The 15,195-nt window shown below is 56.7% G+C and overlaps 1 protein-coding gene and 1 pseudogene across 6 annotated transcripts, besides 4 other annotated features; one reads left to right on the top strand and one right to left on the bottom strand.

The window, feature by feature from the left end:
* Positions 1-6,307: 6,307 nt before the first annotated feature.
* Positions 6,308-10,289, bottom strand: LOC101059915 (chromosome X open reading frame 49-like). 5 transcript variants are annotated; one of them, XR_938437.3, is made up of 6 exons: positions 8,796-10,289; positions 8,120-8,276; positions 7,501-7,577; positions 6,932-7,223; positions 6,587-6,628; positions 6,308-6,481 (listed from the first exon to the last, which is right to left on the bottom strand). XR_938437.3 is itself a non-coding variant. In NM_001323075.3 (6 exons), exons 1-5 carry the CDS (start codon positions 10,029-10,031, stop codon positions 6,588-6,590), a joined length of 1,557 nt encoding a protein of 518 aa, NP_001310004.1. In that variant the 5' UTR covers positions 10,032-10,289; the 3' UTR covers positions 6,308-6,481; position 6,587. The 5 variants fall into 5 exon arrangements, 1 of the variants encoding a protein (NP_001310004.1); XR_938438.3 differs by having other exon boundaries at positions 6,587-7,015; positions 7,178-7,223; NM_001323075.3 differs by having other exon boundaries at positions 7,178-7,223.
* Positions 7,599-7,678: a silencer, noted in NCBI's record as "silent region_20899". NCBI's record gives its function as "represses an Ori minimal core promoter by ATAC-STARR-seq in GM12878 lymphoblastoid cells {active_cell/tissue: GM12878}" and the evidence as "EXISTENCE:reporter gene assay evidence [ECO:0000049][PMID:35858748]".
* Positions 7,825-9,024: an enhancer, noted in NCBI's record as "CDK7 strongly-dependent group 2 enhancer chrX:70888661-70889860 (GRCh37/hg19 assembly coordinates)". NCBI's record gives its function as "activates an origin of replication core promoter dependent on BRD2, BRD4, P300/CBP, MED14 and CDK7 cofactors, with strong dependence on CDK7, by STARR-seq in HCT116 cells {active_cell/tissue: HCT116}" and the evidence as "EXISTENCE:reporter gene assay evidence [ECO:0000049][PMID:35650434]".
* A 642-nt stretch (positions 10,290-10,931) lies between the features above and the next one.
* On the top strand, positions 10,932-14,840 carry LOC100129291 (chromosome X open reading frame 49 pseudogene; annotated as a pseudogene). The gene is made up of 6 exons (NR_136576.2): positions 10,932-12,282; positions 12,869-13,025; positions 13,566-13,642; positions 13,928-13,973; positions 14,519-14,560; positions 14,667-14,840. The product of NR_136576.2 is annotated as a chromosome X open reading frame 49 pseudogene (transcript).
* Positions 14,181-14,390: an enhancer, noted in NCBI's record as "active region_29752". NCBI's record gives its function as "activates an Ori minimal core promoter by ATAC-STARR-seq in GM12878 lymphoblastoid cells {active_cell/tissue: GM12878}" and the evidence as "EXISTENCE:reporter gene assay evidence [ECO:0000049][PMID:35858748]".
* Positions 14,421-14,540: an enhancer, noted in NCBI's record as "active region_29751". NCBI's record gives its function as "activates an Ori minimal core promoter by ATAC-STARR-seq in GM12878 lymphoblastoid cells {active_cell/tissue: GM12878}" and the evidence as "EXISTENCE:reporter gene assay evidence [ECO:0000049][PMID:35858748]".
* Positions 14,841-15,195: the final 355 nt, after the last annotated feature.

Here is a 15,195-nt window from a genome sequence, read left to right as displayed (position 1 = left end):
GAGACAGGGTTTCACCATGTTGGCCAGGCTAGTCTCGAACTCCTGACCTTGTGATTCGCTCACCTCGGCCTCCCAAAGTGCTGGGATTACAGGGGTGAGCCACCGCACCTGGCTATTTATTTTTGAGACTGAGTCTCCACTGTTGCCCAGGCTAGAGTTCAGTGGCATGATCTCAGCTCCCTGCAACCTCTGCCTCCCGGGTTCTAGTGATTCTCTTGCCTCAGCCTCCTGTGTAACTGGGACTGCAGGCATGCGCCACCATGCCCGGCTAATTTTGTTTTGTTTTGTTTTTTTAGTATTTATTGATCATTCTTGGGTGTTTCTCAGAGAGGGGGATGTGGCAGGGTCATAGGATAATAGTGGAGAGAAGGTCAGCAGATAAACACGAGAACAAAGGTCTCTGGTTTTCCTAGGCAGAGGTCCCTGTGGCCTTTGGCCCTGTTTGTGTCCCTGGGTACTTGAGATTAGGGAGTGGTGATGACTCTTAACGAGCATGCTGCCTTCAAGCATCTGTTTAACAAAGCACATCTTGCACCGCCCTTAATCCATTTAACCCTGAGTGGACACAGCACATGTTTCAGAGAGCACCGGGTTGGGGGTAAGGTTATAGATTAACAGCATCCCAAGGCAGAAGAATTTTTCTCAGTACAGAACAAAATGGAGTCTCCTATGTCTACTTCTTTCTACACAGACACAGTAACAATCTGATCTCTCTTTCTTTTCCCCACATTTTCCCCTTTTCTTTTCGACAAAACTGCCGTCGTCATCATGGCCCGTTCTCGATGTTCGCTGTCTCTTCGGAGCTGTTGGGTACACTTCCCAGACAGGGCGGCCTGGCAGAGGCACTCCTCACATCCCAGACGGGGCGGCCTGGCAGAGGCACTCCTCACATCCCAGACGGGGCGGCCTGGCAGAGGCACTCCTCACATCCCAGACGGGGCGGCCTGGCAGAGGCACTCCTCACATCCCAGACGGGGCGGCCTGGCAGAGGCACTCCTCACATCCCAGATGGGGCGGCCTGGCAGAGGCACTCCTCACTTCCCAGACGGGGCGGCCGGGCAGAGGCACACCTCACTACCCAGACGGGGTGGCGGCCAGACAGAGGCGCTCCTCACCTCCCAGAGGGGGTGGCGGCCGGGCAGAGGTGCTCCTCACATCCCAGATGGGGCGGCCAGGCAGAGGCACTCCCCACCTCCCAGACGGGGCGGCTGGGCAGAGGCGCTCCCCACTTCCCAGACGAAGAGCGGCAGGGCAGAGGCACCCCCCACTTCCCAGACGGGGCAGCCAGGCAGAGGCGCTCCTCACCTCCCAGACAGGGCAGCCGGGCAGAGATGCCCCTCACCTCCCAGATGGGGTGGCTGGGCAGAGGTGCCCACTTCCCCGACGGGGTGGCCAGGCAGAGGTGCTCCCCACCTCCCAGACGAAGGGCGGCCGGGCAGAGGCGCTCCTCACCTCCCAGACGAAGAGTGGCCGGGCAGAGGCGCCCCTCACTTCCCAGACGGGGCGGCGGCCGGGCAGAGGTGCTCCCCACCTCCCAGATGGGGCGGCCGGGCAGAGACGCCCCTCACCTCCCAGACAGGGCGGCCGGGCAGAGGCGCTCCACACCTCCCAGACGAAGGGCGTCTGGGCAGAGGCGCCCCTCACTTCCCAGGCAGGGCGGCCAGGCAGAGACTCCCCTCACCTCCCAGATGGGGTGGCGACCAGGCAGAGGCACTCCTCACTTCCCAGACGGGGTGGTGGCCAGGCAGAGACGCCCCTCACCTCCCAGATGGGGCAGCCGGGCAGAGGCACTCCTCACCTCCCAGACGGGGCGTCTGGGCAGAGGCGCTCCTCACTTCCCATTCGGGGCAACCAGGCAGAGGCGCTCCTCACTTCCTCCCAGACGGGGCGGCCAGGCAGAGGCGCTCCTCACTTCCCAGACGGGGCGGCCAGGCAGAGGGGCTCCTCACATCCCAGATGATGAGCGGCCAGGCAGAGACGCTCCTCACTTCCTAGACAGGGTGGCGGCCGAGCAGAGGCGCTCCTCACTTCCCAGACAGGGGCGGCCAGGCAGAGGCACTCCTCACTTCCCATTAGGGGCCGGGCAGAGGCGCTCCTCACTTCCTCCCAGATGGGGTGGCCGGGCAGAGGTGCTCCTCACTTCCCAGATGGGGCAGCCGGGCATAGGCGCTCCTCACATCCCAGACGATGGGCGGCCAGGCAGAGACACTCCTCACTTCCTAGATGGGGTGGCGGCCGGGCAGAGGCTGTAATCTTAGCACTTTGGGAGGCCAAGGCAGGCGGCTGGGAGGTGGAGATTGTAGCGAGCCGAGATCACACCACTGCACTCCAGCCTGGGCAACATTGAGCATTGAGTGAGCGAGACTCCATCTGCAATCCCAGCACCTCGGGAGGCCGAGGCGGGCAGATCACCCGAGGCCAGAAGCTGGAGACCAGCCCGGTCAACAGGGCAAAACCCCGTCTCCACCAAAAACACAAAAACCAGTCAGGAGTGGCGGCACGTGCCCGGAATCCCAGGCACTCGGCAGGCCAAGGCAGGAGAATCACCAGAGCCCGAGGCAGGGAGGTTGCAGCGAGCCGAGATCATGGCAGTACAGTCCAGGCTCCGCAAGAGAGGGAGACGGTAGAAAGAGGGAGACAGAGAGCGAGAGGGAGAGGGAGAGGGAGAGGGAGAGCCAGAGGGAGAGGGAGAGGGAGAGGGAGAGGTCACAAGTTTTAAAACATTCAAAAAATTCCAATAATATTAGACATCTTCTCTGACCACAATGGAATAAAACTAGAGATCAATAACTACAGACATTTTAGAAACTATAAAACTTTAAAAATTTCTTAAAATGAATGACGATGGAAACAAAACATACCCAGACCTATGGGATACAGCCAAAGCAGTACAAAGAGAGAAGTGTATATCTAAAAGTACCCACATCAAAAAAGAACAAAAAATAATCAAGAAGAGCTAATACTAATCCTACTCAAACTATTCTGAAAAACAGAGGAAGAGGGAATACTTCCAAACTCATTCTACCAGGCCAGTATAAGCCTGATACCAAAAACCAGACAAAGATACATTTAAAAAAAAAAAAAAGGAAGCTACAAGCCAATTTCCCTGATGAATATTGATGCAAAAACCTTCAGCAAATACTAGCAAACCGAATTCAACAATACGTTGATAATTTGACTTCTTTCTTTCTAATTTGGAGGCCTTTTATCTCTTTCTCTTGTCTGATTGTTCTAGCTATGACTTCCAGTACCATGGTGAACAAAAGTGGTGAACAAGGGCACCTTGTTGTGTTCCAAGTCTTAGAGGAAAGGCATTCAGTCATCATCATGACCAAGTGCGATATATCCCAGGGATCCGAGGACGGTTCAACATATGCAAATCAATCAATGTGATACACCATATCAACAGAATGAAGGATAACAACCATATGATCATTTCAATTAATGCTGAAAAAACCATTTGATAAAATTCAGAATTCCTTCATGGCGAAAGCCCTCACAAAACTGGGTATAGAAGGACATACAGACCCACAGCTAGTATCATACTGAATGGGGAAGAACTGAAAGCTGGAGAAAGGGAGAAGCTTGGAGTGGCTCAGTCTAAGTCTGAAAGTCTCAAAACCAGGGAAGCCGACAGTTCATTCTATCTAAATATCTTTTTTTGGACCCATTAATTATCCCCACCTCTCCCTCACCCCTCACTACCCTTTCCAGCCTCTGGTAATTATCTTTCTGCTTGTTTGCAGATGACATGATCTTGTATTTGCAAAAACCTAAAGACTCCACCAATAAACTCTTCAAACTGATGAGTAAATTCAGGCAAGTTGCAGGATAGAAAATCAACACACATAAATCTAGCATTTCTACATGCCAACAGTGAACACTCTGAAAAAAAATCGATAAAGTAATCTCGTTCACAACAGCCAGAAATAAAATAAAATACCTAAAGGATTCGTTATTTATTCTAGTCTTCTCTGTCTGGCTTGTTTGGATTTTTATGTTTGCTTACAGATTTTGTGTAATTTACCTGTTGAATGTCATTTTTTTCTGCTAGGCCACTACCATCTTTACAGCATTAGATGGTGCCTTAAGCCCAACTTTACCTTGTCTCAAGCAAATGATCAGAGTGCTGCCCATCCAGAATGAGGGAGGTCCCAAAGGTGATATCTTGCCAGTATGGAAGAGCTAGCTGGCTAAGGGTCTGTGCCCACGGGGCTCGTGGAACATCCCACTAACAGTGTGGCGCTGCTAAACGGCCACTCTGATTTGGCATCTCCTTTGGCTGAGTTACACAGCAGAGGTTCCAGGGCTGAGGATGATAGTTCTGCCTCCCCGTTTTGTCTCTGGCTGTCCTCTGGGACATTTCTCCCCTCAGGCACTCACGATGCTTCCTGTGGGTTGAATCAGGAACAGGTCTTCTGCCATGGAACCCAAGATGGTGTGGAAGCTGACCGTTCACCTCAATATCACTTCTTCCAGTGTAGAAACCATGACTTGGCCAGCTCGGTTGCTCACGCCTGTAATCCTAGCACTTTGGGAGGTCGAGGCCGGCGGATCACCTGAGGTCAGGGTTTCAAGACCAGCCTGGTCAACATGGTGAAACCCCATCTCTACTAAAAATACAAACATTAGCCAGGAGTGGTGGTGCACACCTGTAACCCAGCAACTTGGGAGACTGAGACAGGAGAATCGCTTGAACCCAGGAGGCGGAGGTTGCAGTGAGCCAAAACTGTGCCATTGCACTCCAGCCTGGGCAACAGAGTGAGACTCCGTCTCAAAAAAAAAAAAAAAAAAAAAAAAAAAACAAGCAAATCAAAAAAAACACAGACGTCTCCACACATATACTAATCTTGAATGGTATCTGCATTTCTCCTGTCTTTGTCTGTTCAACACTCAGGCTGTTGGCTTTCAGAGCTGGCAGAACTTACATCACTGGAAACAGAATCTGTCTGTGTCTCACACCCATACAGCCCTGGATTCAGGCTGAAGGAAGGAGGCAATCCCAACTGTCAGGGAGGGTGAAGGCAGAACAGGAAGCTCAAGGAAATCTCATGTGACCTCAAGAGGTGGTCTGAAAGACTGAACAGGCACACAGAAATATCACGTCTACAAAAACCTGCAGCTTTGGGGATGGTGGAACAGTATTTGACGGGGACCATCCAAGAACAGCCAGGCCTAGCATCCACACTTGCCCTGGAAGGCAACTGGCCATTTTCAAATCAAGGATATGAAGCCAACCAGTTGCAGAAGGGGCTGTTGGCTGCCTACAGGACATCAAGGAGGTGGAAGCCACCTTCCATGTAGCTGCCAGTGGGAAGTGTGGGAAGTTTTTTTTGTTTTTGTTTTTGTTTTAGACGGAGTCTTGCTCTGTCACCAGGCTGGAGTGCAGCGGCACAATCTCGACTGCAACCTCTGCCTCCATTGTTCAAGTGATTCTCCTGCCTCAGCCTCCCGAGTACCTGGGACTACAGGCGCCCAGCAGGCAGTTTTCACCAGGTTGGCCCACAGGCACCAGAACAGACTCAATGCCCCCACCTCCAACCAAGAGACTACCCCGCCCTTTTCAGCGCTCCCTGTGCCTTCCCTTTTGCTCGGCCACCCACCGGGATGTGGCATCTGCTTCCATCTGGCTACTGAAACTAAGGAGGGAGACCTGATGGGATGTGGCAACAGAGGTTCAAAGATGAGGGCTAATAGAGGAACTGAGGATGTCGCGCGGGTTTCTGGCCAAGATGAACTGACTGTATGCGTGGTGGCACCAGAGGGACATAATGGCTCCAGAAAGAGGACTGGGCCCGAGTGGAAGGATGAGCTCCGTCATGCTCCTCAACAGCATGGAAATAACCATACAGGAGAGGCCACCAACATCAAGCCGCAGGGAGAGTAAGGATGCTCATGACAGAAAGGACAGTGACATGGCAGAACTGTCACAGTGAACCACAGGAGGAAAGGCAAGAGAGACTGGGGTTCTGAAAGGAGGCACTCAGTTCCTCCTGAAGGTGAGGGAGAGTAGCGCTGAACAACGGGACCTGTGAGACCCCAAAGTAGGATGAGAAGAGGAGGGAACATGAGCAGGGTGTGTTGGGAAAAGGCAGAAAATGCTCCTGTGGCAGGGCAGGGCAGGGCCCCCACAGCACCTAGACCCAGGCACTATGGTGACTGCAGGGCTGCTGCTCAGAAGCCGGCCCAGGTGCCCTACAGGGAGAGGGTCCACCACAGAGCGTTCTTCAAGCGCCAGGGAACACAGCAACACCCCGCACCGCCCAACACTCCCAACAATCGCAGAGAGGGCAGACCACAGACCACAGAATATGAGAACAACTTTATTTCACACTGCTTTGAACTGTGTTGGGAAGGGGGCAAATGCAGCAGAAGAGAGGAAGCCCTGGCTGAACAGGATATGGAGGGAACCCGCTTAGCTGCAGCTCCGGAGCTCCAAAGGTAGCAGCTGCTCATCTTGTAGGAAGATGCTGGCTCCAACCTGTGAAACAGAGCAGCTCAGGGATGGGCCCCCAGCCAGGGTGAGCCCACAGCCCTTCTAAGCTACTGGGACTGTGGAAAGGGACATGACGTGTGCAACACTCACTTCACAGGTCCTGGAACTTGTCAGTGAGGAACTGCATGGCAGCTGAAACAGAGAGACAGAACTGGGTACTCCAGACCCAGGGAAACAGAAACCCACGCCCTGCCCCCGTGGGGAAAAACCTAGCCCTGCAACCAGAAACCCCACCAGCCCTGGGACTGACTCATCCACCCGTCACCTGAATTAAATGTGGAAATGCCTTCTAAGCAGGAAAGTGGTTCTCAGGTGTTGGGCCATCCCAGAACCGTTCAGAACATGTTTCAAAGACAGATAAGCCAGCCAGCAAGCAAACACCATACAAGCAGTACCAGGCAGCAGTTAAAGGAAAACACATAAGGTATCTCTAACCGTTCTAAGAGAAGATCTCTGGGACTTGTAGACAAAGTGTACACGGAGTTCAGACGACACATTGCTGTCTGTGCACACCCCTAGCTGAAAAGGCACAGAAGGCTCCAGGGCCAGGCCTGCTTGGTTCTCTTCCCCAGAGGAAGTCAGTCCCAGTGACACCACCTATACCTGCAGTCCACCCCCACCACCAGCACCTGCAGAACGACACCGCTGTCCATCCCTGCCCCAGCCAGTGCTCCATCATACCTAGTTGGTCTCTAAGGTCTTCAATTTCCCTCTGCAGCAAGATGCACTAGCCCAGGAGACACCAGTGGAAAAGAAATGGTTAGTCAATTCTGGCTTCCTTTCTCCCCGTTCTCCCTGTCTCCCCCAGCCCTTATAGCCCCCATAGCCTGCAGCCCAGTGGTGAGGTGGATTGGCACAAAACCCTCAATGGAAAGGAGGCACTCACTCTGCATGGGGTATGGTAGGCAGAGGGGATTGGGGAGACACCGAAATTAGTTTAACCTGGACATGGATCCCACCATCTAGTGTGGACCTCTATTTCTAGGAGCCACACAAAGCATTACCCGAGGACAGCCCTGGGCTCCCGGGGGCTGCTGCTGCCTTTCCGGTCTTGGGGGATGGACAGGTGGCTGCCAGTCACCTGAAAGAGAACACAAAATCCAGCTTCCAAGCCGCCCAGTGAGGTGGAAAGGGCGTAGCAGGGTCTAAAGTGAGGCACCATCACCCTCTGCTGGCAACATGTTGCCCCTGCTCTGCCTAGCATCTCCAACCCTCCCTCTGGGACGGTCTTCCCTGTTCTCCCTCGTGAGCCCATCTGCACCTGTGGCCCCCTAGCATTGTGACTCCAGGTTGGACTCCAGCAGTGCGGCAGCCACAGCCAGGCCCTGGGAGGGCCGGTATGGCTGAGCAGGACTTAACAGAAAAGGGCTCAGTACTGCCGAAAGTCTCCTTCCAGAGTTGGAATGTGGGGCACTGCTCCAAATCGCCCCCACCACACAAACCCCACTCAGAGAGGACGATGTGGCTTAAAGCCAGCCCTGTCGACACCCCATTTCCTGTGGGACAGCTGCCTGGGTGGGCAGGGAAGCCTGGGAGCACAGCTAAGCCCCCAGAAGCGACAGAGCCAGAGGTTTCCCTCCGGACCCCTCTCCCCTCCACCCCTATCAAACCCGCAAGACTCACCGGAGGATGCATGGCATCTGGGCACCAGGCGTCTCAAGGTAAAGGCCGAGGGCTGTGAGGTTCCTAGTACTTGGGGAGCTCTGATGTTGGGATCACCACTGCTGTATTCTCCACGACGCACGGACAGAGAAATCAGCTCTGGCTTCTGTGTGGGAAGCTAAAACAGAAATTTCTGAGTCAGGCTGGCAGTGGGGACGGGCGGTGAGTACACATGGGGAGGGGTTGTGTTAAGGTGGAGACCCCAGACTAATCTTATTAACACTTTCTCCCTCAGTCCACCCCAAGACAGGAGGGCTTGCTTAACAGCTAGGGAAGGAGGAATTGGGAAGTTGATGAGTCTAGATGCCCAAGCTTTGCGCCCTGATCCAAACCAGCTGCCAGCCCTGTCTTCCATCCCAGCTCCTCTCTCAGGGAGGAGGCAGGACAACTGCAGAGTGTCCAGAGCCAGGCCTGGCACACACCAAGTGCTCCCTTTAATGTGTGCTCCTAAGAGGAGGACCCCAATCGGGCATCCTAGTGTCCCTGGGCTCCCGATGACAACCTGTGAGCAAGGGATAGAGAGGGCATGGGCAAAGAGGCGTGTGCTGGAAGAGAGGTGGGTGGGGGGAGACAGAGGAGAAAGAGGAAGAGGAGAGCAAGGAGGAGAAGGAGGAGTGCGCGAAGAGAACCTACTCACTTGGGCCCTTGGGACCTCATCTCTATTTGGGTCATTATCTTCTCTGGCCGCAGCCTGGGACTCCCTGGTCTTCCTTCCTGCAGGTTTCTTCCCAGGGCTGCTGTGCTTGGGCTCCTTGGGTCTCACGGACTTCCCCAGGAGCCCCACGCCAGACACTGGCGGGAAGCTAGCCGGATCAGGTGGAACTGCTGAAAGTCTCTGCCCCCAGGCAGGAAAGGCTCCCCGCAGGGCCAGTTCTGGTGCACCCTCTAGGGATTTCTTCTCCTGGGCCACCTTCCTTCCCAGAGTGCCCCGGGGTAGGGGCCCTCTAACGGCAGCTCCTGAGCAGCTGGGCCTGACCCCCCTCTTTCCCCACACCATGCTCTGCATTTTCTTCAAGGAAGGCACGTCCAGCTCTCCCACAGCCGGCCTCTCCACGACTGGGGTGAGTCTGCGGGGAGGAGAGATCAGGAGAGGTCCCTGAACCTGAAGGTAACTCTCCCTGCGGTGGAAACTGCGGCGTCCGCAAGTGTCTCCTGGCTTCTTGGGGCTTCCGGGCTTGGCCTGGCTTCCTTCTTTGGTGCTAATGATCACCCTAATCACCGGTAAGTCGCTGCTCTCATCTGCGGAATCAGAGTCGTCAGTATTCAGCCCGGCGGGGCCTTCCGCGGAGGGCTGCTGGGGATCCACTTGGAAGCTCAATCTGCTCTTCGAGCCCCTTTCTGGGTTCTCCCAGGCCGGTCCTGGCCCAGGAACACTGAGGTGGAGAGGGCCGGCAGAGGCCTGCTGCCATTCTCCAGGGCTGGGGCTCAGCGCACCTCTCCAACTGGGACCGACCTCCAGGTCCGCCCAGATGTCAGTGGACCCTTTGGCAGTGGCGCCTTCTGGGGACGGGTGTCCCTGGACGCTGGACGGCGGCATGATGGTGGCTGGCTCATCAGCCAGGTAGAAAGAGTAGTCCCCACCACCCGCTTGGTCGTCGACCGGGGTGCCAGGCCGGCCTTCCTGGCCCCAGAGCACCACCCTTCCCTGCTCTATCAATTCGCTCTCAGACTCGAAGCTGAAGCTCTCGGGATCTGTGAACCCGCTCTCGCCCTTGCCCTTACCCTTGCCACTGCGCTGCCCCCCAAAATTGAGGTCTCGGCCGTGGCCGTCACCCCGTGGGGCTCCCGGGCTGGCGGTGTGGGCGCCGGCCTGCTCGCCACCCTCTGGGCCTAAACCAGCCCTGCAAACGGACACTTCATCCGTGGAGCTCATGGCGCCCGCCAGTCTAGACAGCCAGGCTGTGGGGAGACAGTCGTCCTGGTAACAGTGGGAGAGGAGAGCCGAGCCCAGCCAAGCCCAGCCGAGGGGGCCACTCTCAGCTTTGAGCCTGAGAGCGAATTGATACAGCAGGGAAGGGTGGTGCTCTGGGGCCACAGGAACAGCAAGGCCTTTGGGACACCGCCACCCTCACCACAGTCTGCTCACGAGATGTCACTGACAGCGCGTGGCTTCCGGGCTCCCTCAATGCCTGCGTCCTGCCTTCTCATTGTTCCACGCCTTCTCATTGGTCTGCCCATCGCCAATCAGCGTGCCCCTTGTTGGGCGCGGCTTCTGGGCTTTACCCAATTGGGAGGCAGACTCTTGGATTGCCCGGACGCCCGTGGTTTGGCTGGGTGGTTGTACTTGGGTCAGGTCTTGGGGCCAGGGCCCACTGGAGCTCTCCATCCACCTCTTTCTTCCTGTCCTGCTGCCTCTGGCCAGGCACCTACTTTCCAATGACAGCCACGTCTCTGAGCCCCAGTGTCCCATTGTAAGGCGGAAGTCAAGGGGAGAGCTGCCCCCAGCTCATCAGCTTGGGAGAATAAATGTCCTGATGCACGAGAAGCACCTGGCACACAGAGGAGCTATCATTAAAAAGTAGGTGCCCGGCCAGAGGGAGCAAGACAGAAAGAAAGAAGTGGATCGAGAGCTCCAGTGCACCCTGGCCCCAAGACCCGACCAGAGTGCATCCACCCAGTCAAATGACGGGCAGCGGGACAAACCAAGAGCCTGTGTCCCTATTGGTTAAAGCCCAGAGGCTTCACCCAACAAAGGGGGCGCTGGTTGGTGGAGGGGGGACCAATGAGAAGGCTCGACACGGGTGTCGAAGGCGCGCGGAAGCCACCCGCTGTCGGGAACACGGTACTTCCACCTGCCGTGAGGGCCACGGTGTCCTGAAGGCCTTGTTGTTCCTGTCCCGTGGCCTGCTTGGCTGGGCTTGGTTGGGCTCGACCATCTCCCCATAGGCCAGGGTGCCTGAACTGGCGCCATGAGCTCCCCCGATGAGGTGTCCGTTTGGAGGGCTGGTTTCGACCTGGGGGGTGGCGAGCAGGCTGGCACCTGCACAGTCAGCCCCGGAGCCCCACAGGGCCACAGCCGAGGCCTCGATCTGGGGGCACCACACAGCAGCAAGGGCGAGAGCAGGTTCACAGATCCCGAGGGCTTCAGCTTCGAGTCTGAGAGCGAATTGATAGAGCAGGGAAGGGTGGTGCTCTGGGGCCAGGAAGGCCGGCCTAGCACCCCGGTCGACGACCAAGGGGACGGTGTGGACTACTCGTCCTACCTGGTTGATGAGACAGCCGCCATCGTGCCACCGTCCAGCATCCAGGGACACCCGTTCCCTGAAGACGCCACTACTGAAGGGTCCGCTGAAAACTGGGTGGACCTGGAGGTCGGTCCCAGTGGGAGAGGCATGCTGAGCCCCAGCCCTGGAGAATGGCAGCAGGCCTCTGCCGGCCCTCTCCACCTCAGTGTTCCTGAACCAGGCCGGGCCTGGAAGAACCCAGAAAGGGGCTCGAAGAGCAGATGGAGCGTCCGCGTGGACCCCCAGCAGCCCTCTGTAATAGGCCCCACCAGGATGTCTACCCACGACTCTGATTCCTCCGATGAGACCAGTGACTTACCACTGATGAGGATGGGCATTCGCCACAAAGAAGGAAGCCAAGCCAAGTTCGGCAGCCACAGGAAGCCAGCAGACACATCCAGACACTCAAGCTTCCACTGCAAGGAGAGTTACTTGCCCGTGCCAGGCCGTTTCCTGACCTCTGCTCCCCGCGGACTCACTCCAGTCGTGGAGAGGCCGGCTGTGGGAGAGCTGGAGGACTCTCCCGGGAAGAAAATGCTGAGCAGGGCCTTGGGAAAGGTGGAGGCCAGGCCCAGCTGCTCAGGAGCTGCCACTGCAGGGGCCCTGCCCTGGGGCCCTTCTAAGAGGAAGATGGCCCAGGAGAAGTCTCTAGGGGGTGCCTCTCAACTGGCCCTATGGAGACCCTTTCCTGCCTGCGGAGAGAGACTCTCAGCCACTCCCCCAGGGCCGGCCACCTCCCAGCCATTGCCTGGTGTGCGGCCGCAGGGGATGTCCAAGAAACCCCAAAAGCCTAAGCACAGCAGCCCTGGGAAGAAACCAGCAGGAAGGAAGACCAGGGAGTCCCAGGCTGTGGCGAGAGAAGATAATGACCCAAATAGAGATGAGGTCCCAAGGGCCCAAGTAAGTAGGCCCTTCTCACCCTCCTCTCCCTCTTCATCCTCCTCCTCCTCTGGTCTCCCCCCAGCCTCCTCTCTTCCAGCACACACCTGTTTACCCATGCCCCCTATGTCCCTTGCTCAAGGGTTGTTATCGGAAGGCCAGGGACACTAGAATGCCCAATCAGGGTCTTCGTTGTAGGGGCACACGTTAAAGGGAGTACTTGGTGTGTGACGGGCAAACCTCCGGACACTCTGCAGGGGTCCTACCTCCTCCCCCAGAGAGGAGCTGGGATGGAAGGCAGGGCTGGCAGCTGGTTAGGTTGGGGTGATCCCTTAAAGTGTGGGCCGCAAACCTGGGGCATCTAGGCTCATCAACTTCCCGACTCCTCCTTACTTAGCTGTTGCCCGAGCCACCTGGAAAGGGGCCCAGGCTATCTCACTATCCCCAGTGTTTTCCCTGGCTGGGCTCTGCCTCCTGGCCTGGGGCTGACTGGGGGAGAAAGTGCTAATGAGATTAGGCTCTGGAGTCTCCATCTTACCACAACCCCTCCCATATGTACTCACTGCCCGCCCCCACCGCCAGCCCGACTCAGAAATTTCTGTTTTAGCTTCCCACACACCGGCCAGGACTGCCTCGCCTATCCACGCATCGTGGAGAATTCAGCAGTAGCGACTCCAACATCAGAGCTCCCCAAGTTCTGGGGACTTCAGAGCCCTCTGCCTACAGCCTGGGAGGCCTCGTGCCCAGACGCCATGCACCCTCTGGTGAGTCTTGCGGGTTTGATAGGAGTGGAGGGGAGAGGGGTCGGGAGGGAAACCTCTGGCTCTGTCGCTTCTGGGGGCTCAGCCTTGTTCCCAGGCTTCCCTGCCCACCCAGGCAGGTATCCCATGGGAAATGGGGTGTCGACAGGGCTGGCTTTAAGCCACATCATCCTCTCTGAGTGGGGTTTGTGTGGTGGGGGGCGATTTGGAGCAGCGCTCCAAACTCCAACTCTGGAAGACTTTCGGCAGTACTGAGCCCTTTTCTGTTAAGTCCTGCTCAGCCACACTGGCCCTCCGAGGGCCTGGCTGTGGCTGCCCCACTGCTGGTGTCCAACCCGGAGTCACAACGCTAGGGGGCCACAGGTGCAGATGGGCTCATACTGGGGAACAGGGAAGACAGTCACAGAGGGAGGGTTGGAGATGCTGGGCAGAGCAGGGGCAACATGTTGCCAGCAGAGGGTGATGGTGCCTCACTTTAGACCCTGCTAGGCCTTTTCCACCTCACTGGGCGGCTTGGAAGCTGGATTTTGTGTTCTCTTTCAGGTGACTGGCAGCCACCTGTCCATCCCCCAAGACCGGAAAGGCAGCAATAGCCCCCGGGAGCCCAGGGCTGTCCTCGGGTAATGTTTTGTGTGGCTCCTAGAAATCCAGGTCCACACTAGATGGTGGGATCTGTGTCTAGGTTAAACTGATAGCTGCATACCCCCCGACCCCCGCCGCCTCCACCTTCTGCACCCCAGGGAGAGAGGGTGCCTCCTTTCCATTGAGGATTCTGTGCCAACCCACCTCGCCACTGGGCTGCAGGCTATGGGGGCTACTAAGGGTTGGGGGAGACAGGGAGGACAGGGAGAGAGGAGGCCAGAATTGACTAACCATTTATCTTCCTCTGGTGTCTCCTGGACTAGTGCATCCGGCTGCAGAGGGAAATTGAGGACCTTAGAGACCAACTAGGTATGAGGGAGCCCTGGCTGGGGCAGGGATGGACAGCAGTGTCTTTCTGCAGGTGCCGGGGGCAGGGTGGACTGTAGGTACAGGCGGCATCACTGGGACTGACTTTCCTTTGGGGAAGAGAACCAAGCAGGCCTGGCCCTGGAGCCTTCTGTGCCTTTCCAGCTAGGGGTGTGCACAGACAGCAATGTGTTGTCTGAACTCCATGTACACTTAGTCCACGAGTCCCAGAACTCTCCTCTTACGACGGTTAGAGATACCTCATGTGTTTTCCCTACAAGCCTGGTAGGGCTTGTATGGTGTTTGCTTGCTGGCTGGCTTATCTGTCTTTGAAACACGTTCTGAAAGGTTCTGGGATGCCCCAGCACCTGAGAACCACTTTCCTGCTTAGAAGGCATTTCTACATTTAATTCAGGTGACGCGTGGATGAGTCAGTCCCAGGGCTGGTGGGGTTTCTGGTTGCAGGGCTAGGTGGTTCCCCACCGGGGCAGGGCGTGGGTTTCTGTTTCCCTGGGTCTGGAGTGCCCATTTCTGCCTCTCTCTTTCAGCGGCCATGCAGTTCCTCACTGACAAGTTCCAGGACCTTTGAAGTGAGTGTTGCACACACCATGCCCCTTTCCACAATCATGGTACCTTAGGAGGGCTGTGGGCTGGCCCTGGCTGAGGGCCCGTCCCTGAGCCTACTCTGTTTCACAGGTTGGAGCCAGCATCTTCCTACAAGATGAACAGCTGCCACCTTTGGAGCTCCGGAGCTGCAGCCAAGCGGGTTCCCTCCATATCCTGTTCAGCCAGGGCTTCCTCTCTTCCTCTGCATTTGCACACTTCCCAACGCAGTTCAAAGCAATTTGAAATAAAGTCGTTCTCATATTCTGTGGTCTGTGGTCTGCCATCTCTGTGATTGTTGGGAGTGTTGGGGTGTGCCGGGTGTTGCTCCGTTCCCTGGCGCTGGAAGAACAGTTCCCCTGGCGCTCTGTGGTGAGCCCTCTCCCTGCGGGGCGCCTGGGCCGGCCTCTGAGCAGCAGCCCTGCACTCGGGCTCACCACAGTGCCCTGGGTCTAGGTGCTGTGGGGGCCCTGCCCGGCCACAGCAGCATTTCCTGCCTTTCTCCTACACACCCTGCTCATGGTCCCTCCTCTTCTCCTCCCACTTTGGGGTGTCACAGGTCCCCTTCTTCAGTGCTTTTCTCCCTCTCCTTCAGCAGGAACTGATGGACTCCTTCTAGAAC

The sequence above is a fragment of the Homo sapiens genome, chromosome X (genome assembly GCF_000001405.40).
Source record: "Homo sapiens chromosome X, GRCh38.p14 Primary Assembly".
Classification (NCBI taxonomy): domain Eukaryota; kingdom Metazoa; phylum Chordata; class Mammalia; order Primates; family Hominidae; genus Homo; species Homo sapiens.
This window is presented reverse-complemented; position numbering and strand designations above follow the sequence as displayed.

Bases quoted from the DNA above. Each gene is read 5' to 3' on its own strand.
- LOC101059915 (NM_001323075.3), bottom strand. From the start codon at position 10,031: ATGAGCTCCACGGATGAAGTGTCCGTTTGCAGGGCTGGTTTAGGCCCA. The intron at 8,277-8,795 runs GTGAGTAGGTTC...TTTCTGTTTTAG, and splicing joins ATGAGGTCCCAAGGGCCCAA to CTTCCCACACAGAAGCCAGA. The intron at 7,224-7,500 runs GTAATGCTTTGT...CTCCTGGGCTAG, and splicing joins GAGCCCAGGGCTGTCCTCGG to TGCATCTTGCTGCAGAGGGA.